Source organism: Homo sapiens, chromosome 10 (assembly GCF_000001405.40).
Source record: "Homo sapiens chromosome 10, GRCh38.p14 Primary Assembly".
Taxonomy (NCBI): Eukaryota; Metazoa; Chordata; class Mammalia; order Primates; family Hominidae; genus Homo; species Homo sapiens.
The window spans coordinates 115,016,032-115,039,960 of record NC_000010.11 but is presented as its reverse complement, the minus strand read 5'-3'; the positions used below and the strand labels follow the sequence as shown (position 1 = coordinate 115,039,960).

The 23,929-nt window shown below is 43.5% G+C and overlaps 2 long non-coding RNA genes across 4 annotated transcripts in view; one reads left to right on the top strand and one right to left on the bottom strand.

The window, feature by feature from the left end:
- Positions 1 to 16,941, bottom strand: part of LOC107984272 (uncharacterized) — a 39,616-nt gene extending 22,675 nt beyond the window's left edge. Inside the window, exons 1-2 of one of the 2 annotated variants that reach the window (XR_001747595.1) lie at positions 16,844 to 16,941; positions 15,566 to 15,680 (exon numbers count right to left, since the gene is read on the bottom strand). This is a non-coding gene — a long non-coding RNA (uncharacterized LOC107984272). Of the gene's footprint in view, positions 1 to 15,565; positions 15,681 to 15,877; positions 15,958 to 16,843 lie in introns of those variants that run through there. The other variant, XR_001747594.1, reaches the window with a different exon arrangement.
- LOC124902509 (uncharacterized) lies at positions 10,105 to 13,449 on the top strand. Of its 2 annotated transcripts, none has more exons than XR_007062297.1 (2): positions 10,105 to 12,108; positions 13,189 to 13,449. It is a non-coding gene; the product is annotated as an uncharacterized LOC124902509 (long non-coding RNA). The 2 variants fall into 2 exon arrangements; XR_007062298.1 differs by having other exon boundaries at positions 12,065 to 12,118.
- Positions 16,942 to 23,929: the final 6,988 nt, after the last annotated feature.

The following is a 23,929-nucleotide window of genomic DNA, read 5'->3' as shown; positions in this document are numbered from 1 at the left end:
TCCATTTTGGCCTGCTCCTCTTGGCCCCTATTATAGAACACCAAGGTTGCCAGGTTTAATAATGCCTCCAGATTTTGTTCAGGGCCAAGGGCTTGCTTTTGGAGCTTTCTCCTGATATCTGCAGCTGATTGAGTAATAAACATATCTTTTAGAATCAATTAACCCTTGAGTGAGTTGGGTGACAGGGGAGTATATTTTCTTAAGGCCTCCTGTAGCCACTCAAGGAAGGCAAGACTTTCTTCCTTTTCCTGAGTTATGGTGGACATCATTGAATAATTCATAGGCTCTTTCCTAATTCTCCTTAGTCTTTCTAGAACACAGGTCAACAGATGTTTGCGACTCCAGTCCCAATGATCTGAGTCTAGGTCCCAGTGGGGATCCACACTAGGGATGGCTTGCTGACCGGGAGAGACTTTGTCCCTTTCCCCAGCTGTCATTCTATCATTTACTTGACTAAGATACCAGGTATCTCCAAACTCTCGGGCTGTGGCTAAAGCCACATTCTTTAAATTAAAGGCCAGGGTTTGATCTAACAATAGCATGACATCTCTCCAAGTGAGATTGAAGGTTTGCCCTAGACCCTGTAGGACATCTGTATACCTATCAGGATCATCTGAAAGCTTCCCCTGGTCTGCCTTGATCTGCTTTAAATCAGAGAGGGAGAAGGGGACATGTACCTGGGTTGGGCCAAATTCCCCTCCCCCGCTACAGCTTGAAGGGGACATAACCGATAGCCCAGGGGTTTTTGTGGTCCTTTGGAGATTTCTTTGCTTGTTTCCTTCTGGGTGGGGGAGATTAGAGGAGGCTTATCATTAATAGGAAGGGGAGCTATAGGGAGGCTAGGATATGGGGGTAAGCTGAGAGGTCCTCTTGTGGGATGTGAATTGTAAGTTTTGCATAGTTGTGGATTTTCCTTTAATGAAAAGAAAGTTTGGACATAAGGTATTTCACTCCATTTGCCTTCCCTCTTACAGAAAAGGTCAAGCTGCAGGATAGTATTGTAATTTATACTTCCTTCAGGTGGCCATTTTTCCCCATCAGAGAGAGAATATTGGGACCAGGCCATAGTGCAGAATAAAATGAGCCACCTCTTTTTCAGGGTTTGCGGGTCAAATTAGTCCCAATGGCTTAGGATACATTTCAAGGGTGAGCCTGTTGGTGCCTGAGTGTTTCCCATCTGAAAGACAAAACTGCCCCCAGTTTTGGTCTGTTTGTTCCCCCCACCCCCCGACCCAAGAACCCGCAAAGGTCACTGGACCCTGCTGATTGGAATAGTTGAGCCCACCAATGCAGCAGCAGAAACACCTCTTGCCCAAGAACCCACAATGGTCCCTGGACCCTGTTGATTGGAATAGTTGCGCTCACTGATGCAGCAGCAGAAACACTAGTTTTCCTCCTAGACCACAAGGAGGACCAAGGAATGTCAGATTTAGTGGCCCTTACCAACACATTCTTGAAAACCTGCACCCTTACCTGTCCTCCTAGACCACAAAGAGGACCGAGAAAAATCGGATTTAGTGGCCCTTACCGACACATTCTTGAAAACCTGTTAGAGTCCTAAACATTCTCCTGTTAGTATTGGGACTTTACCCGTGTCCTATAAAGACGTTATGCCCCAAAAGTGAAGTGGAGGGCCATACCCTGAGGGAGGGAAGGGATCTCCAGAATTGGAAGAGTGATGCCTTTTGTCCTCACTTGAATAGGAAGGATATCATTTCTGAGGCTCCCCATATCCTAGCTTCAGGAATAGCTTTTGTTAGGCCTGCTTGTCTGAGGAGGGATCCTAAAATTCCAGATAGTCCCCCCTAAGATGGGGCTTTGGGCAAAAATTATGGCTTTCTGATTGGTGAGCCCGGGTGCCTAAAGAAGAGAATAGAGTCCTGGAGTTTATACTAGAAATCATTCTTATAGGAGAAACTAGAAAAGCACCAGAGACAGGGAGTGGTTTTTAGAAGTGGGACTAGCCTTGGAGAACAGAGACAAGAGGAAGTTTTGTCTTCCAGGCATTAGGACCCAGGAAGCAAGAGTCAGGATAGATAGGATAGATGGGTGAGTCTCGCTTGGGCAACATGACTTCGAGAGTTCTGCTCATGGCCACAGGGTCAACCAACTTGCTGTCGGGACCCCAGAGCTGAATGGCTTTCCTCTCTGTTGACCCTCGTCTCAGCCCAGAAGTACAGGAAATGTGGAAGCTGGTTCCAGGCAAACCAACGCTCCCAACTCCAAAGAGTTGGGGGTTATTAGAGAGCCCTTTCCCAGAAAGTCTGACACCCGTGTCTTTAGTCTCTTAAATCTGGCAGCCATGCTAGTCGCTTTTAACTGGCTGACAGGTGCCCAATATTTAGCCCCCGAATTCTAAGGAAAAATAGGACAGAATAACAAGTGAAAGGGGTTGATGGTACTCACCACTTGGTGATAGTCCCATCTGGGTCACCAAAATGTGTCCGGAATTGTTTCCTTCCAGTGGGTTCTTGGTCTTGCTGACTTCAAGAATGAAGCCGCAGACCCTTGCAGTGAGTGTTACAGCTCTTAAAGATGGTGTGTCTGGAGTTTCTTCCTTCAGATGTTCAGATGTGTCTGGAGTTTCTTCCTTCCAGTGGGTTCATAGTCTCGCTGACTTCAGAGGTGAAGCCGCAGACCTTCGCAGTGAATGTTACAGCTCTTAAAGTTGGCGTGTCCAGAGTTGTTTGTTCCTCCCAGTGGGTTTGTGGTCTCACTGACTTCAGGAATGAAGCCACAGACCCTCACGGTGAGTGTTACAGCTCATAAAGATAGTGCAGACCCAAAGAGTGAGCAGCAGCAAGATTTATTGTGAAGAGCAAAAGAACAAAGCTTCCACAGCGTGGAAGGGGACCTGAGCAGTTTGCCACTGCTGGCTCTGGTGGCCAGCTTTTATTCCCTTATTTGGCCCTGCCCACATCCTGCTGATTGGTCCATTTTACAGAGTGCTGATTGGTCCATTTTACAGAGTGCTGATTGGTGCATTTACAATCCTTTAGCTAGACACAAAAGTTCTCCAAGTCCCCCCTAGCCCAGAAGCCCAGCTGGCTTCACCTCTCACTATCAGCCTGGGTTCCTGAATGACCATCTAAAGCAGGCACTCCTCCATGCCCCTCTTCCCGAACCAACATCCCAGAGAGGGCAACCACTTCCCTCAGATGTCACAGGCCCTTTCCTGATGTCTTTTTAGTAGTCTGATCATGCCTTTTCTACTCTAGGATGAAGGCACAAATGTAATGGTTCTCTGTAAGAGGAGAGCCCTCTCTGTTGGGGCTAACCTTAGCCAAGGATGTACTACAGGTGTTTCCAAGATTCCAGTTGTTAGTAATTAGATCTTGCAGGTTATGTACAGAGTTAGGGGCACATAAGCTCCAAATGTGGCTCTCATTTTTGTGTCTACCATCTTGCAGAACCAGGTGTACCAGGCCCTCTTTACCTGGGCCACTTTTACCTGGCTATCCTTCCCCCAAAGAGTGCAGCTTTTTGAGTCCCAGAGAGCACAAAGATCTCTTTATACTTTTCTTGAGGCCTGATCATCTAACATGTATACAACAAAGAGCAGTCACTTACTGGCCTTTCCTTGAACCAGAAGCTTTGCTTCAGGGAAGGCAGTCATCACTCTGTGATGGCGGAGAGGCTGGAGTTGTTAGTCCAGCCTTCAATGAACACCACGTGTGGTCACTGTCTGGACTAGCACCCTGTTACATTAGTAGTACTTTATATGGGCCGGGTGCAGTGGCTCACAGCTGTAATGCCAGCACTTTGGAAGGCCGAGGCAGGTGGATCACTTGAGGTCAGGAGTTTGAGACCAGCCTGGCCAACATGGTGAAACCTGGTCTCTATTAAAAGTACAAAAATTAGCCAGGCATGGGGGCGTGCGCCTGTAATCCCAGCTACTTGAGAGGCTGAGTCAGGAGAATCACTTGAGCCCAGGAGCAGGGGGTTGCAGTGAGCCACGATCATGCTATTGCACTCCAGTCTGGGTGACAGAGCGAGACTCCATCTCAAAAAACAAAAGTAGTACTTTATATGTTTTTATTTTACAATGAATATGCCTCAGGGATACAGTTTGTAGCAATATGTAGGATTTGAAGAAGAGAATACACATTATTGTGTTTGCAGGGGCCCAAAGATTGTAGCTATCCGGTATGTCCTATTGTTTTTTGATACCTGTGAGAAAAAGATGTCATCATATGGTAAAGTGTTTAGCACAGCCCTTGGCTCATAGTAAACACTCAGGAGCTGTTTCTTTCCATTATAATTCTGAGAGCATAGCCATGACCTACAACCCTTCCCTTCACCATTGTCAAGAGCAAGAATGCTGGCCACCATGGCCCGTGTCCATTATTATGTATCTGTGCAGGAATAAATGGCTCAATCTTACGAATTTCCTCTAATACCTGCACTAGGTCCTTCTGAACTTCTGGCAAGTTATAATTTCAGAACAGTTACCAAAGGAGTAGGGCAGTTACTAGAGGGGTAGATCCTTTGTTTCATGGTCAGTGCAGCCAGCATGACCTCCACACACATTTCTTCACCCATCTTTCCTTCACGTGGCTCTGCTCATTATTGCCCATCACCCAGCCTCCTGGAAGGCAGCTACATCTTGCTCAGAAGCTGTGAGTGTTGGGGGAGGGATAGAAGGCTGCATTTGCCAGGGCTTAGCAGGAACCTTTCTATTTTATTTCGTTTAGAGGACTGCTTCTGCCATGGCTTTCAGCTGTGCAAAGATAAAGGCATAAAGCATTGTCTCCATGATTAAGAGCAAGGCTAGTCAGCACAGCTTCCTCAGATTGAGGCTTTTCTCTCCAAGAAGTAAAGAAGCAACTCTATTACTGTTGGCAATGAATAGGGGTGTGTGTGTGTGTGTGTGTGTGTGTGTGTGTGTGTGTGTGTGTGTGTGTGTGTGTGTGTGTGTGTGTGTGTCTAGAGAGAGAGGTGGGGAGACAGAGACAAAGACAACGACAGACAGGTGGGAGTGGAGAAGGATGGAATAAATGAATGTTCCCTGCAATGAATATAAAAAATTTAAAAATCCTTTCACAATCCAGTTCTGCACCTAAACACTGAGCTCTGAGAAGTCAGACTTTCCGGGTCTTTTTTCTCTGTGAGCATTTTATTTTCTCAGTCTGTTAGGCAGTTACCTGAAGAGCATTTTCCAAAGAGGATGATGCAGCATAGTAAGTGGCCCAAGAGACTGCCCCCTTCAAACCTAAATCAGCTGTTGTTAACACTGTCTGATAGCTATTTGGCAGTCTTTGTCCAAGCAGTTCACAGCAGCGGCTGCCCACCTCCTTGTCTCCTTACAGCTCTGACCAAATGGCCAAGTTGGGATGGACTGTCTACTTGGTGCAACAGACATTCAAGGCGAATGTGTAAATCCTAAACCAGGTGAATCCTTATCCACATTGTCAACCCTGGAGAGCCATATCTTCAGAGACCACATAATCTGAACAGGCCTTGTGCCTGATACACCCAGGCTGAGAAAGCGGGTCAGAAGAGTTGGATATTTGGGAATATAAAATTGCCTAATCTCCGGGTGCGGTGGCTCACGCCTGTAAGCCCAGCACATTGGGAGGCCGAGGCGGGTGGATCATGAGGCCAGGAGTTCAACACCAGCCTGGCCAATATGGTGAAACCCCATCTCTACTAAAAATACAAAAATTAGCCAGGCGTGGTGGCGTAAGCCTGTAGTCCCAGCTACTGGGGAGGCTGAGGCAGTAGAATTGCTTGAACCCAGGAGGCGGATGTTGCAGTGAGCCGAGATCATGCCACTGCACTCCAGCCTGGGCAGCATAACGAGACTCTGTCTCAAAAAAAAAAAAAAAAAACAAAACTGCCTAGTCACGGCACCTGTTAGGCTCCCAAAATATCTACTTTGAATCATTAGGCACATCTATAGGCAAGACTAGGTGACCAAATACTCTTGCTCTTTTCATACCATGATACAATTAAAATACATGTATCAACTCAGGGTGGACCAAAAATCATATACAATTATCTGGAGGAAATTGTCCAGTAAATATTAACTGCATTTAAATTATTGGCATACAACTTCTCCCAGACACACAAAGAGCTGGTACTAATTCTACAGAGAAAATTCGAGGAGGAGGGACCATTCCTGAACTCATTCTATGAAGCCAGTATGAACCTGATACAAAAATGTGGTAAAGATGAAATGAAAAAAGAAAATTACAGGCCAATATCCCTGATGAAAATAGATGCAAAAATCTTCAACAAAATACTAGAAAATCATAAGATGGCAGCAAGGGTGAGAAAAAATAGTAATTAAAAAAATACTAGCCACTTTGGGAGGCTGAGGCAGGCAGATCACGAGGTCAGGAGATCAAGACCATCCTGGCTAACATGGTGAAATCCTGTCTCTACTAAAAAATACAAAAATTAGCTGGGTATGGTAGCGGGTGCCTGTAGTCCCAGCTACTCGGGAGGCTGAGGCAGGAGAATGGCATGAACTCGGGAGGTGGAGCTTGCAGTGAGCCAAGATCACACCACTGCACTCCAGCCTGCGCGACAGAGCGAGACTCCATCTTAAAAAAAAAAAAAAATTAGCAAACCAAATCCAGCAGCACATCAAAAAGTTAACACCATGATTAAGTAGGTTTAATCCCTGGGATGGAAGTTTGGCTCAACATGCACAATTCAATAAATGCAATTCACCAAATAAGACCCAGAAAAAGCTTTCAATAAAATCCAACATCCCTTCATGATAAAGGCCTTTGACAAACTAGGCATCAAAGGAATACACCTCAAAATAATAAGAGCCATCTGTGACAAACCCATGGCCAACATCATATTGAATGGGCAAAAGCTGGAACCATTTCCCTTGAGAGGTGGAACAAGACAAGGATGCTCACTCTCAGCACTCCTATTCAACGTAGTACTGGAAGAGCAATCAGACAAGGGAAAGAAATAAAAGGCATTCAAATAGGAAAAGAAGAAGTCAAACTATCTTTCTTTGCTAATGATGATTCTATACCTAGAAAACACTACAGACTTTGCCAAAGGCTCCTAGAACTGATAAATGACTTCAGTAAGGTTTCAGGATACAGAATCAGTGTACAAAACTCTGTAGCATTTCTATACACCAATAACATTCAAGCTGAGAGCCACATGAAGAATGCAATCCCATTTAAAATAGTCACATAAAAAATGAAATACCTAGGAGGATCTCTACAAGGAAAACTAAAAAACATTGCTAAAGGAAATAGTAGATGACACAAACAAATGGAAAAATATTCCATGCTCATGGATAGGAAGAATCAATATCATTAAAATAGCATACTGCCCAAAGCAATCTATAGATTCAATGCTATTCCTATCAAACTGCCAAGGTCATTTTTCAAAGAATTAGAAAAAACTATTCTAAAATTCATATGAAGTGAAAAAAGAGCCTCAATAGCCAAAGCAATCTTAAGCAAAAACAGCAAAGCAGAGGCATAACATTATCCAACTTTAAACTATGTTATGAGACCATAGTAACAAAAACAGCATGATACTGATACAAAAACAGACACATAGACCAATGTAACAGAGTAGATAACCCAGAAAAAGCCACACTCCTACAGTCATCCGATCTTTGACAAAGTTGACAAAATAAGCAATGAGGAAAAGATTCCTTATTCAATAAATGGTTCTGGGATTGCTGGCTGGCCACATGCAAAAGAATGAAACAGGACCCCTGCATTTCACTATATATAAAAATTAACTTGAGGTGGATTAAAAGCTTAAATATAAGACTTTGAACTATAAGAATCCTAGAAGAAAACCTAGAAAATGCTGTTCTGGGCATCAGCCTTAGGAAAGAATTTATTATTAAAATTCAAAAGCCATTGCAACAAAAACAAAAATTGACAAGTGGGACCAATTAGATTAAACAGCTTCTGTACAGCAAAAAAACAAAACATAACAAAACAGGAACTATCAACAGAGTAAACAGAACTATAGGATGGGAGAAAATATTCACAAACTATGCATCCAACAAAAGTCTAATATCTAGAATCTATAAGGAACTTAATTCAACAAGCACAAAACAACTCCATTCAAAAAATGGGCAGAATATATGAAAAGACACTTCTCAAAAGAAGACATACGAACAGCCAACAAACATAAAACAATGCTCAATATCACTAATCATCAGAGAATTGCAAGTGAAAACCACAAGGAGATACCATCTCATACCAGTCAGAATGGCTATTATTAAAAAGTTTTTTAAAAAAGTAAATGCTAGTGAGGCTGTAGAGAAAGGGGAATGCTTATACACTATTGGTGAGAATGTAAATTAGTTCAGCCCCTCTGAAAAGCAGGGGTTTTTTGTTTTTTGTTTTTTTGAGATGAAGTCTCACTCTCGTGCCCCAGGCTGGAGTGCAATGGCGTGATCTCAGCTCACTGCAACCTCCACCTCCCCGGTTCAAGTGATTCTCCTCCCTCAACCTCCCGAGTAGCTGGGATTACAGGTGCATACCACCACGCCCGGCTAGTTTTTGTATTTTAAATAGAGATGGGATTTCACCATGTTGGCCAGGCTGGTCTCGAACTCCTGACCTCAGCTGATCTACCCACCTCGGCCTCCCAAAGTGCTGGGATTACAGGCGTGAGCCACTGTGCCCGGCCAAAAGTTGAAATTATTTTTAAAAATTTAAGTAAATAAATTACTTACATAAGAAAGCCTGCAGTGAATAAGAAAGGCACAGAGAGACAGAGTGTGCAAATAACTAAATAATACAACTAAGAAATTGATTCAAATAAAGATAAATTATGGTGACTGCCAGGAAGGAAATGAACAGAGTACAAAGAGTGAGAATAGCTGAAAGAGGTCAGTTGAGGCAAGCTGAGAAGACATCTGAACTGGAAGGATGAGAAACAGGCTTTGTGAAGGGGTGGGAGTGTCTCTCAGACAGAGGGATGGATAGCAGGTGTAGGGCTTGGAGGCAGGAAAGGCATGGTTTGTTAGGACCAGACAAAAGGCCAGTGTGGCTGGAATGGGAAGGTCAGAAGGAGGGAGGGAAGACTTAAAGTGGGGAAGGTAGGAGGAGCCAGGGCATGCCAGTTCATGGCAGGAAGAAACTGGAGTACATTAACACAACGTGGAGAAGAACATGCCAGCCTCTAGAGCCGTCCAAATGGAATGGGCTACTTTAGCAGGCGGAGAAGCTCGCATCAGCCAAAACTCGTCTCCAAGGTTCTCAAAAGTGTGTTGCTAGAGCCTTTGGGCCTAGAGTTTGGCTTCGCTTTTATTCTTATCACATTGCATCTTGTTAGAGCCAATCCCTCCCTCCAGCCTGAGGAGCTTTTTTCAGATAAGCATCCAGTGTTCTCATCTGAAAGCCACAGATAAAAATGTTGACTAGGGCAGAGCTCTTCCCAGCTGGCAGCTAAATCTGCCCTCCAGCAGAGGTTAGAGGACGTTATTAGGGATGTAAGTGAGGGACGCAGGCCTTACAGGGGAAGTGGATGACCTTACAATCTCTGCTATTTCTGACAGTTTATGAGATCTGTGGACTACATTACAAAGGACAGCACACATTATGGTGTTAGTGGAAGTTTAGGGGATCTTGTCTTCATGAAGATTCAGGATGTAGATCTGGGAAAAGAAAATCTTTTCTCAGTAGTATTAAAGTAGAACCATTTTTACTATAGATGATCAATATTTCTTTTTATGCCAACAAAATACCTCTGCAAGGTTCCGGTACACATGGTATCTTTTCAGCAATTGCTTTAGCATTTGGACCCTGGGAGATGTTATGAAATACACCAGGCCACTCATCCACTCATCACCTGAGGAGAAAGGTGTGTGATAACCATTGTGTGCTGGGTCCTTTTTAAACCTAGAAGCAGTTTATATTTTTGCTACTATTAGAATCTTCCTATTTAAGAAAGCTGGGCTTAAAAACTAACATTTTGAGGAACCACTTCCCTTAAGCACTGAAGCACAGCAGGCAGAACCAATTCTTTCTGGAAACTTCAGAGCATCTAACAACAGATCAATATTTTTGCACTGTGGCCAAAGTCCAGCTCCATTTGTATTGCCGCGAATCACCTAGAGCTGGAAGTGTTTAGCTTTGCCACCTTGATTCCCTAAGTGCAGGTGCTCATATGCTTATGATTGTTTTTAATTTACAAGATTAGAAAAATGGGATTCATCTTATAATAATGTTAATTTTTAAGGCATTTTTATTAAATTTTTTAAAATTGTTCTCCTGAAAATACAGAAAAATTAGAGAAGGAAGCTGCTAAGTGTGCCCCACAATTCCACATCTGACCAGTGTAAACACAGCCCTGCTTCAAAGCAGACTGTTGCAGCAAGTCAGAATTCTCACACTCTATTACAGAAGAGGCCCAACTAAAAGAAACAGCAGGCCAGGCACGGCAGCTCACACGTGTAATTGCAGCTACTAATTTTGAGAGGCCGAGGCAGGCAGATTACCTGATGTCAGGAGTTCGAGACCAGTCTAGCTAACATGGTGAAACGCTGTCACTACTAAAAATACAAGAATTAGTTGGGCGTGGTGGTGCATGACTGTAATCCCAGCTACTCGGGAGGCTGAGGCAAGAGAATCGATTGAACCCAGGAGCCTGAGGCTGCAGTGAGCTCAGATTGTGCCACTGCCCTCCAGCCTGGGTGACAAAGTGAGACTCTGTTTCAAAATAAATAAATAAATAAATAAATGAGTGAATGAATGAAGCAGCAATCCCAGCAAAAGATCTCCAACAAAAATCTTAGCATTGTCTTCTTCTCTACTATTAGATATGCCAGGTGAGAAATGAGATGCAGTTAGAGCCACTTTGACCTGAGTCTATTTCTCAAAGTGTGGGCCCCAGATCACCTGCATAAGGATCATATGAGGTGGGAGGTGGGATGGTTCTTTAAGGTAAAGATTCCTGGGCTCTATCCTGACCCAGTGAATGAGACTCTCTGAGGATGGAGCCCAGGCATTTGCTTTCCTTAATAAGTTGTCCATGTGATGATTTTAGACATTCTGAAGTTTGAGAATCACTCCAGCCATAGCTGTCTCCTCTCCAGTGGGCCACAGGCACCACTGACCCCCCAGCACACAAACACAAGGGGAATCTTTCTGCACTAGCAGCTTAAAGGCTTTTCTTGGATGGTCTTTTTGGTATATTTTTAGTCAAGTAATAAAAATAATGGCAAACAAGTGTTTACTCTGTGCTAGTCATCATCCAAAAACTTCTATTTTTATATTTACTGACTCTTATAATAACCTTATAAGGTAGGTTTATTATAATCCCCATTTTATAGAAGAGTGAATAAAAGCACAGAGAGGTTAAGTCACTGGCCCAACATCACACAGCCAGGATTCAATTCCAGGCTGAGTCTGGTTTCAGAGTCCACACTCTTAACCTGCACCAGGCTATTACATACCTCAATTTCCTGTAATGTGGCCCCAATCCCTTTGTCTCATTCATTTAGCAAATACCTCATCTTTGAAGACTAATAGCAATCCTGCCTCTGTGAAGCCTCTCCTTACTCCATGAGGTAGAGTCTCTTTCTACTACGTGTGAGAGGGGAGATGGAGACATAGGGAAGTGGCAAAGCTAGAGAGGTAATAAGGGCCAGGCAGGTCACAGAGAATGTCTTTGAGGAAGAAGGTCAAAGTGAGGTGCCTCTCTGGGAGCTGCTGCGCTAATCCAGGCGAGAATGGTGGGAAATGAATGATGGATCACTGCAGCAATGTGCCTCTTAGCCCCACCCGACACTGTGACATATACCACTTTTTAGCATTGTCATTAAAACCACAGTTCCGGCTGGGCACAGTGGCTCACGCCTGTAATCCCAGCACTTTGGGAGGCCGAGGCAGGCGGATCACCAGAGATCAGGAGTTCGAGACCAGCCTGGCCAACATGGTGAAACTCTGTCTCCACTAAAAATACAAAAATTAGCCGGGCATGGTGGTGCGCGCCTGTAATCCAGCTACTGAGGGGGCTGAGGCATGAGAATCGCTTGAACCTGGGAGGTGGAGTTTGCAGTGACCGGAGATCATGCCACTGCACTCCAGCCTGGATGACAGAGCAAGACTCCGTCTCAAAAACAACAAAAACAACAACCACAGCAACAACCACAGTTCTTAGGTAAATGAAGGTAACCAAACATTATAAGACTCATTGCCATCGAATGTACCTGGCAATCAAACCGTGAAAATGCATGCCAGATTTCCTAGACTTGAGATAAAATTTCCCACTATTTGCAAATCAGCACAGGTCAGAGTAAAAGGCCCAAAACAGGGGCCCGGGCCAATGTGCCAGTGACCTCCTAAGGCAGGACTGAGTCTTTCATCATTTTTCCAAATTCTCAGGACAGTGTAACAATTGACAGATGTTTGTTGAATGAATAAATGAATTCTGTATGACCACATGACATTTTCTGGTACCTCAGTAGAAACATCAGTGCTGGGGCAACAAGCTTCCTGTCCTTCTCAAACTTTCCCTCCCTCCAAACCAGGAGTCCTGCATTGCTGTGGAGGGTCATTACCCTTCCTTCATAATTGGAGATGTACCAAGCGACATGATAATGCCTCATATTTATGTAAAGCTTTTACCCAAGCAGATTGTAAATCCTTTTAAATAGTCTGATCCATCCCACGATAGTGATGGGAATTGGGCGTTATTACCATCCTCATTGTGTATGCAGAACCAGTTAGACCTGAAGGAAAGTTAATGACTTGCCCAAGGTCACCGCACATGAGCTGCCCAGGCAACTTCAGAAGCAGGCTTCCTAACTCACAGGCTGGCCCGTTCCATCCTGTGGTCCTTCCCGCTCTCTCTGGCTCCTAAGGCCATTTGTGGCAGTGAACATCTGCGAGCTCTGGTCACTTATGCGTTTCCTGGTATCTGATACTCTTTCCCTCCCCACCAAGTGCATTTCCAGTGTGACAATTACTCCATCAGCCACTCCAAGCAGGAGGATTTGAAAGGAGGGCCGCTATTTTCCATGAGTGCAATTATTCATGTGCACAAATAATTGAGCACATAATTGGCTAATGGGGAGTGCAATCGGCCACATGTGGGCATAATTAGCCACTTGCCCCTCATTTAGAGGGTATAATTATCAAAGCAGGCAATTTTATATCTGGGGATAAATTGCGCATGCAGGAGAGAAAGACGGCTAGGAAATCCGGTCCTTAGTTACTTTTCATGTCCTTTTATTTCCAGAAAAGCATTTTAAGGTAAAGGTAACCTTCTGATTTCAATTGCCCGTTTGGATCAACCATCAGACCCAGTCATGGAGAGGACGCAGAAAATGGAATCTAGGAAAGAATGAGCCAGGATCTTGTGGACCGAGCTGAAGCGTGAATCTTCCTCGCCAGAAACACCCCAGCAACCAATTACCCTGGACGTGACGCCGAGGCCCACCTAGTGGTCAGCCATCTGCCTAGGCAGACAATAAAGCTCAATTTTTCTCCTTCTCCATTATTGTGTATCATTTTTGCTTTAGCAGTTTTAACGTTTTCCTCACTTTGTGGTTTTATCATCTCAGAAATGCCAGTTGGCTTGGCACAGCAAGTGATTTTGTTCGCTGCTGGAAGTGGGTCATTTAAAATGCTTTAACAATACCTTTAACTAGTCATTCATCTGGGGATGTACATAGAATAATAAATCGAGAACACATCTCTTTGTGCTTGTTCCAAGACCTGAGATGGCAGAGATTTTACAGTCTCTGCTGCGCAGCCCCCCTGCATTCTGGCTTCAACAGCTCTGCAAAACTTTTCCCACTCTCCCACTCAATCACACAAAAATACACTTGCTAACAGCAGATCCTAAAAATACATGTCACATGCAAGCACAAGGGAAATTTTTTTTAAACATGAATTGACTCTTTAGGAATATGCAAGCTGAATTTTTTTTAAAAAAAGGAACACCGAATCTCCTATTACACTATCCTTCATTTCCATCAGAGTATTATCTTCTGGGGGAGGGAAAATAGCACAGTGATTGGGGAGACAAGCTGTTTGGTGTTAGAAGGACCTCAGTTCCTGGCTCAGCTCTGGCACTTGCCAATTGTGTGACCTTGGATAAGTTACTGAAACTTTCTGACCCAATTTCCCTATCTGTAAAATGGGTTGTTCTGAAGGTCAAAGGGAATGCAGGTAAAACACTTAATGCTAGGCACATTGTAAGTCAGACTCAGGTAAGTGGGATCTATCATTAATATTAAGAGCCTCATCTTTTAACCTCTAACACACCTTATCTGTACCAGGCACATGGCACTCTACAGTATCTGTGTACAGCCCTAATTCTCCTCACCAAGTGGAGGGAAATGTCTTCTTACACATCTTTATAATGCATATGGCAAGATGCCCATAGGAGGTCTTCCATAATTGGTGATAAATGATGGTTCACAACAGCATGTGACACCCCACACTGACATGTGCTGACCTTGAGCACAATGTCACACTCGCTTCTATGGCTTCTGGACCTGAACTCCATCTCCACCCTTTCCTCTATTGTCACCCTCAGAAACTGGCTGCAGGGGTGGGGGTTGGGCGGTGGGGGTTTGCCTTTCTAATTTCTGTTTTCACCTCTTCAGCTTCATGACCTCTGCAGTCACTTCTATTTCAGCTACCTCAGCACAGCCATTCCCTAGACTTCATTGCCCCTCAGACCTGAGGCACCTCGAAATCTTGAGTTTTCTTTGACCTTGTTGATTTCACCTTCCTTACCTTCCACCTTGCCGGGGAACAAATGTGCGCATCTCCTCCCAACCCTGCTTTCTGTGACTTCACATTCATAGCTTGAAACTGGTCATGGTGGGAGTATTTGCACCACAGAAATAGGCAAATATTACAAATCAGGGCTTCCCCTCACCCCCCAGGAGAACCAACTGTTAACCATTTTCCAGGACAATACTGCATGTATTCACATGTATTTCTATCATAACCCTAATCCCTGCACACCTAACTATTCTCCATCATCCCCTATTGATTTCATTTACCTTCCTAGTTCTCCTCCAATGTCAGCGCTTAGTATATTTAATACATGCCATACTGTTCCTCAGTCCCACGCCCTTTGATGGCCAGCTGATTCTACTTTTCTACTCTCCACTTACGGGTAACCCCCATGTCCTCTTCCTCTATCTCACTCTTTCCTCCTACTACCCATCTCTCATCAACTTCTAATCAAGCTCCCACTGCTAATATTCTGACCCTTCAGCTCCTGGTGCCTGTACAGTAGGCAATGTTTTAAACAGGATAGACTCCACTCTGTTCATGTTTATTGTCCAGATACATTATCTCTCAAAGAGAGAGAGAGAGGTTGTACGCAGGTCTTTTAATGGCTAGTCTATTCGGTCCCTTTTTAAACCCAGGTTTCATACCAATGTAACCCTTCAGGCGGTGAGTTACATGTGGCATTTGATGCTTTTTTTCCCACTCGCTTCAAAGTGGAATTCTTTGCTGTGCAACACCACACGACTCTCCTAGCGTATCTCAGCCTTGAAGTGTTCACTAAAATTGATATCGCTCTTCCCTGAAAGAAGCAAGTCGTAAACATTGTCTTGTTTAAAATTAAAAATCTACAGTGAAGTGCTTACCGCAAGAGGAATGTGTCTCAAGGTTGTCTCTAATGCGCTTGACATTCCGTGTTCCTTTACCGAATGTTCATTGAACCCAGGCTGGGGTCGGACGAGGCTGAGGGAAGAAGCCAGCCTGAGGGAAGAAGAAAGGTTAAAGAGAGACAGGAAGGAGGAAGGCATAAAATAAAATAAAAAAGAATTATTATGTAGGACACTGCATGCTACCCTCTACGACTGCTCTGCACATGGGCTAAGTAAGAGACTGCAAACTGATCTGAGAACCTTTGCCCCATATAATCCTCTTGGAAATTTGAGAGATTTTACACTAACATTGAGATCTCCGGCTTTTTCTGAGAAATCTTCGGTACTGGCTACACTGGGCCGCAGTTCTACATGGGAACACAGTTGGCTGGAAATGAGTAGCAGCTGTCCTTTAACACAGGCGTGCACTCCCCAGCTGGAAACCCACCCACCCGTAATTGTTTTCCGCCCAGCCAGAATCATTTACTTATGTTGTCAGCTGGGCCTCTGCAGGCATTTGAGTTTGTGACTTCTACGCTGCAGGAAGCCCTGGAGCTTACCCACATTTCTAAAATTTCCCAAAGTGATGGTTTATAGGAGACAGTGGAATCTCATGATTTTATTCATCTCTGAACCGCTGTAGTGCCTTGTACAAAGTAGATGTTCAGTTAACTAGAATGAAGTGTTCACTGAATTAGATGAGTTAAACATCTGAGCAGATATAGGTCCTGGGTGGCCCTGCAGAAGCTCAAATGCAACACTGCTGCTGAGATGTGAACAGCAGAATGTCATTCACAGCATTTTAGGTTCTGCCCTCTGGGTAATGGTAGTTGAAGAGAAGTCCCATTTAGCTATGTGTACGGGACACTGGCCCCTTGAAGGGAACAAGTTAGAACCAGTACATTAGGGAAACTCCTTCTACTGGACAGATTTATTATTGGATCAAAATTTTAGTGCTTAATAAAAGGACCAGAGCACTAGTCATTTTGTCTTGGTTAAGATAGTTTACTACTGTGGGCCTCTGTTTCCTCATTAGAAAAACAAGAGTTCGTTGGTAGAGTGAACATTCTACAGGATTCCATTCTGGCTTCCTCCAGAAGAGGGGGTTGGTAAAATCGAGTTATCTCAGCACCTTCACAGCAACTATCTTTATAATTAGGCTTGTTCATGACTTTAGAATAATTTTTAAAAATTTCTAAATTCCAACTAAAATAATCAGCTTGGCTCTTCTGACGTAGAAAGAAGTGGGAGATTTCAAGAACGTTAGTTTCTCACCCTCTTGACTTGTGCTTTATAACACCTGGCTTCAGTTAGTTAGGGCTCTGTGAGATTGTTCATCTTCCTGAGCCATTTTCTTCAGCCTAGGCATAGTAGAAGTGCAAGTCCTGCGTGGAGATTAATGAAGACCTGTGTTACCACGCCTTCAAAGCATCTGCCTGCTCTCTAAGTCATGCACTGGCTAATTAGAGCGGAACAAAATGGGTGCCTTTCCTTTCCGGTTGAAAATTAAAAACCAAGAAACTGTTTCTCTTTCTTTTGATGTGACCTGACACCACTGTGCATATGAAGCATCTTCTGTATTGAAATGAAGGATAAAGAAAATACCAAGGTGCTAACTGAATTCATGTCTCCTCCTCTCCCAGAAGCCAGAAAAACAGAACAAAGCAGTTTCAGTTCTTAGAATCTAAATAACCCAAATGGGCCCCTTCTCAAATGAAAATCTTTTGAAAACATCTGCAACTGTTGCCAATCAGATCTGATTTTGTGTAAAGTCAGTGTATTGTTTGGTACAAACCGTTTCTAGGGAGACAATTCCTTAAAAAAGAAGCAAGAATATTATTTTAGCAAATAATTTGTTTATCACATAGCCAGTGACATAAAATCTGTGAGGGCTTAATTAAAAATTGCTGGAAGCTCTCATGTCAAGTAAAAATAAATGAACAAAGATGAATTTCTTAAATGAAGATAGGTACAACTCATTTACACAATTTCAAAGCTTTTGTTGTCTTTATGGAGTCTTGCTCTGTTGCCAGGCTGGAGTGCAGTGACATCTCGGGTCACTGCAACCTCCACCTCCTAGGTTCAAGCAATTCTCCTCCCTCAACCTCCTGAGTAGTTGGGACTACAGGTGCATGCCACCACACCTGGCTAATTTTTGCGTTTTTAGTAGAGACAGGGTTTCACCATGTTGGCCAGGCTGGTCTTAAACTCCTGACCTCAGGTGATCCGCCCACCTTGGCCTCCCAAAGTGTTGGGATTACAGGCAGGAGCTACTGCGCCTGGCCCATTTCAAAGCTCTTTAATAATTTAAGTGTATTAGTTTTTAAAATTTTATTAAATAGTTGTAATAAATAACTCTTAAATCTTCAATAGCAGCTACTACTTGTTGAATCCTTATTTCATATCAGACACTATCCTCAACACTTTTCATAGGTTTATTCCTCCTTGAAGCCATCATTATTCCACCTTACATATGCAGAAAGACAGCTGAGAGAGACTAAGTCATTTAAGGCCGTTCAGTAAGTGGCAGCATTGGGATTTGACTCCATCAAAGTCTGTCAAATAGAAGACAGATTTAAGGCCCATGTTGTCTCTTCAAATAATAAAAACATTCGACCAGGCGTGGTGGCTCACGCCTGTAATCCCAGCACTTTGGGAGGCCAAGGCTGGTGGATCATGAGGTCAGGAGTTCAAGACCAGCCTGGCCAAGATGGTGAAACCCCATCTCTACTAAAAATACAGAAATTAGCCGGGTGCAGTGGCAGGCCTCTGTAATCCCAGCTACTCAGGAGGCTGAGGCAGCAGAATCGCTTGAACCTGGGAGGTGGAGGTTGCAGTGAGCTGAGATCACGCCACTGTACTCTAGCCTGGGTGACAGAGCAAGACTCTGTCTCAAAAAATAAAAAAATAAATAAATAAAATAAAAACATTCAAGATTATGAATTAGACGATAAGTACAGTTTTGATTACATGCCATTCATTAAGAAATTCACTGTTCTTGTTATTTTCCTAATTACTTAATAGAGTTTTTACTTCTATCTATTCAGACATAGCTCTTGAGATCTTAAACTTTTTAAATGTGTCTATAAGTTGTTATGTATAAAGTTATTATTGTTTTCGTTTATCATATGTGTCTTGACTATTTCCTTCTACCTCTGAATACTTCCTGTCAAAAATCTGTTCGCCCTCGTTTTACATTCTGCCATTTTTGTTTCATTCAGGACAGGAGAACTAACAGATGGTAGTAAATAATTAAGAGATGCTGAAAGGGTGTGAGGTTTAAATAGACTAAGAAATGAAGAAAACAGTGGTGTTTGTGTAGGTAAAGAAATGTACAAAATAACATAAAATAAAATATTTTAGAGCAAGTAGCATGGTAAGGTTTTAAGAATTCCCAGGTTTTCTAGTAGCTCTTAGTAGCTATTTGTAAAAAATACTGATGCATTTTATTTATGTATTCCTGTGTTTAATTGCAAAAAATGGTATCATGCTTTTCCAATCAAATCCATGTCAAATCCTTGAAAGAACAACTGTTTAAACAAAGTTAGTGAGCGTTCTCTCCATAGCCACTATGAACACTATTGCTGAATTGTATGTATTTTTGCACTTACCTGTTTACCTTTCTGTCTCTCTATTTACTCAGTGAGCAACTTAAGGAAAGCTACAATGTCTTATCTTTGTGGTCCCTGTGCCTAGCACAATGCCCAACACGTAGCTGACACTTGGTAAGTTCTCTTTGAATAAATATAGCAATTTCCTGGAAATCCCTATTGAGCACTGTATTGGACTCCATGGGCTGGTGTTGGTCAAGGTCCAGCACAAGTTTCTAGACTCCATGTGTTAAGCTGTGAGCTCCCCTTGCAGACCTGAGACCTGGAGATGGGTCAATTTCCCTAGCTCTGGCCTGAACTACTTCCAGTTTCCTCCTTCTCTCCATCAATATCCCAGCAAGCCCTGTGTACAAGGATGTATAAATTATAGTACCAACTGTGTAGCTGCTCTGAAGACATCCTAAAGGAGGGAATCTTGAACACTGGGTAAGGTGCCAAGTGAGAAGCAAGATGTCAAAGGTGGGGAGGTAGGCAGGAGGTGGTCAATTAAAAAGAGAACTTGAAAACTTTCTGTAGATTGGCCAATTATGTTGAAAGGCAGTGGTAATCTTTGCCATATAAGTTAGCAGATGAGAAAATGGAGACAGAGGGTATAAAGATCCGTTTAAAAACCTTTAGTGCAAAGGGAAAGATAAAAATAGGATGTTAGCTAGTGGGAAAAACCAGGTCAAGGAAGATTTTTGTTTTTAGGTTTTGTTTTAAGATGCTTGGTAATGACGCGGTAGAAAAAATCTGGAGCAAAAGAAAGATAAAGCCCCTCACCTTCAGAACTCACATTTAAAGAAGGCCATAATAATTTTAAAAGTGATTTGAAGTCAGCCATGACATAACCTTCAAAGATGATAAGAACTCAGAAGGAGAAGCAAAGGCCTTAGAGAATGTGACTCTACTACTAAATGTCACTTTGACAGCTTTTTTCTTGGAGGTACATTTAAGATTATTTGAGTTGTCATTTTCTCTAGGAAGACTTCACTTTAATTACACAAATATTGAATATTTTTCAAGATAAAAATAGTAAAGAATCTGCTTTGAAGTCTTTAGCCTTCAAACACTATTATGTGAAATCCTCATCGGAGAAACAGTGAGAAATATGGAAATAAGTGCAATCAGGCCTCATAAATAAGGAACTGTGAATGTTAATGGTGTGGTTTTACCACAAACCTTTTAAAGGGCCAATGGAGAGGCTTTATTATTTCAAATATCACAGATCTAAGGGTTCCCTAAGGGAAATAGTGATAAATATTGGTAAAATGCCTATAAAGACAGCAAGGCAAAAATAAGCCAAAACTTTGAGCTGGCCATTCAAAAGCTACCTAACCTTTCATTTAATTGTGTTTTTGTAACAAACCAGAAATAAGATCTAAAAGCCAAGTGTGATGGGTTCTTCCGAACATGCTCTGAAATATCTGCTGTAAGGGGATTTAAAGTGCAATTGCTTTGCTCTCAGCTTGAGTGCAACCAACTGGGGAAAAATTGAATTTTGGTCTGCTAGTGGATTGTGGCCATGTGTGTCTCTGGGTAAGGGTGGAGGTGGACTGGGGAGGGAAGTCCTCAGAGGTGCAGCTGTGTGATGAGCAGCTTGGAAGAGCAGACAGAGCAAGCATGTGTACTTCAATGCTGTCTCTTCCATTATGTGGCTGAGTGATCCCGCATAAGTTACCAAATCTTCTTGAGCCTCATTTCCCTCGTCTGTAAGATGATTATAGTAATATTTAACTTAGAAACCTATAGCTAGGATTAAAAGACAGAATTCATTCATGCAACAAGTATTTATTGGATACCACTACATGCTGGGCTCCGTGCTAGGCTCTGGGGATACAGCAGTGAACAAAACAGGCTGACATTTTAGTGTGGAAGACAGGAAATGCAGAAATGACGTAAGTCAATATCATGTGAGAAGCAGATCATGAACGCTGTGGAGAAAGTAAAGCAGATGCAGCAAATCAAATTTTTCATACCTGACCGCAATACTTCGTATCCCATAGGCTCTGATTACAATGTGACTTTGACCCTTCTCCAATTGAGAAATGTGATCTCTGTTCCTTCTCCTTGAAACTGGTTGGTTTTTGTGACTTTTCAACCCGTAGAATACACGGAAGTGATGCTGTGTGGATTCCAAGGTTGGGTCATATGAGGCAATACAGCTCCCACTTTGCTTGCTGGAATACTCAGCTGCGAAGCCTTCAGCCACTATGCAGAGTCCACTGCCCTGAGGCCACCATGCTGTGAGGAAGTTCAGACTAGCCCACGTGGAGAGACCCCCTGGAGGAGATCTGAACTATATCTGAGAGACCCAGCCAGCCCTCAGCTACTAGAACCCTGCTTTGTTTCAGTTTTAGCCAGCATCTGACTCTCACTGCATAAGAGATTATAGAGCCAGAACCTCCCAGCTGAGCCCTTCCAGAATTCCTGACCCTCAGAAACCGTGAGAAATAAGATGATGGCTGATGTTTTCACTCATTAAATTTGGGGAGTGATTTGTTACACAGCAATAGTAGCTAGAACAGTAAAGAAGGGGAACAGAGAGTATACTTTTACAGAGGAGAGAGAGAAGACTTCACTGAGACATTTCATCAATGAATTGAGGGAGGCAGAGAGTAAGCTAAGATATCTGGGGTAAAGTGTTTCAGGCGAAGAGAGTGTGCCTGGTGTATTCAAGGAACAGCAAGGAGACCAGAGTGCGTCTGGAGCCAAGAAAGGGAGGGAGAAAGGAACAACAGATGAGGTCAGACACCGGATAGCATAGGCTCTTGCAGGCCACTGGAAAGATGAGTTTTTAACTTTGAGTTGGGAAGCCATTGAATGGTTTGGGGCAGAGCAATGACAGGATATGATTTAGGTTTTAATAGGAACACTCTGGATGCTCTGCTAAGACTGATACCTTATTCCTTTCATTACAGTATCTCTATAAAAATCCAAAGTTGGTTCAGTAAGGCTAAGTAATTTATCCAAAGCCAGTAAACTACTAATGGCAGAGATGGGATACAAACCCAAGTTATCTTTTTCAAGTCCTAAGAAAGACAGCTTTAGAGAAACTTAGCATCCTGCTATAACTTCCAGGCTGATGCTGATGGTGGCCATCACCTCAGCTCTTCTTTTTTTTGGATGGAGTCTCACTCTGTCACCCAGGCTGGAGTCCAGTGGCATGATCTTGGCTCACTACAACATCCGCCTCTGGGGTTCAAGCGATTCTCCTGCCTCAGCCTCCCAAAGTAGCTGGGACTACAGGTGCACACCACCACACCCAGCTAATTTTTGTATTTTTAGTAGAGACAGGGCTTCACCATGTTGACCAGGCTGGTCTCGAACTCCTGACCTCTGGTGAACCACCTGCCTCAGTCTCCCGAAGTGCTGGGATTACAGGCATGAGCCACCATGCCCAGCCCCCCTCAGCTCTTTTTGTGCCAGCCCCCTTTTTTTGGGAAAAGCATAGTAGTTACAAGCTTAGGTTCGGGAGCTAGACTGAGTTCAAAGCCTGCTTTACCATATATGAGCTATGTCACCTTGGGTAAGTTACTCAACTTCTCTGTGCCTCAATTTCCTTATCTGTGAAGTGAGAATAATAACTGCACCTGCCTCAGAGGGGTTTCGGGAGGGATAACAGACAAAGCATCTCAGGTACTTAGCCCATTGCCTGGCAGTCAGTAAGTGCTTAATCACATCAGCACAGCCACCCAGCCTGGCTCCCTGCACTCCACCTCCCACAACTCTGCATTAGAAAAATCACCACTCTCTGCTCAAACCCCTCTTCTCTGCCACTTCCACCCACATTCTCCTTCCTTTTTGGGTCAATAGTGCTTTTCTCCACACTACCCTAGTTGGAACCTCTTCTAATCTCATCCTCTATATCCCGAGGAACTCTACCCTGTCCCCAACTGTGATTTCTAAGCCCGCTCCATGACTGCTTTTGTCAAAACCTCCTTAGGAGACCCAGCTTCCCACCACCCCCTCCAGACTCTCCTTCTCCTCAGTTTTGCAATAGCGACTGCTCTTGGGTGGTCCCCATCGTCTATATATTTCACCCACTCCCCATTCCCTTCAACGTCCTCTTCTGCCTCTGGAGCCCATCTCCTTTCCCTGGAGGGTTCTAGACTCTGGCCATGGTCTATTTCTCTGTTGTTATTCTTGAGAACTTCCATCATTTCTGCTAGTGGTGTTCCCCACTGCCTGGTCTCATAGTTCCTCAAACTTGTCATTTTCCTCACCTTTGTCTTTGCCCCAGTCAGTTACGTTACAGGTATGTCTCTGCCATTGTTCTCATGGTTTGTCAGAGCTGGCTCACCTCCATGGTCTATGAGGTGGAGGAAAGACTGCTGCCCGAAGAATTCTTTATTTTTTTGAGATGGAGTCTCTCTCTGTCACCCAGGTTGGAGTACAGTAGGGCAATCTCAGCTCACTGCAACCTCCAACTCCCGGGTTCAAGTGATTCTCCTGCTTCAGCCTCCCAGGTAGCTGAGACTACAGGCATAAGCCAACACACCCAGCTTTTTTTTTTTTTTTTTTTTTCATATTTTTTGTAGAGATGAGTTTTCACCATGTTGGCCAGGCTGGTCTCGAACACCTGATGTCAAGTGATCCACCCATCTCAGCCTCCCAAAGTACTGGGATTACAGGCATGAGCCACTGTGCCCAGCCTGCTGCCCTAAGAATTCAATCCCTGACGTTGCTGCTAATGGACTGGGTGTTTGTTTTCTCCAAAGAGAAGTTCTCTGAACTAGCAAAGCAGAAGGGTCTCCTTGGAAAAGGCTTT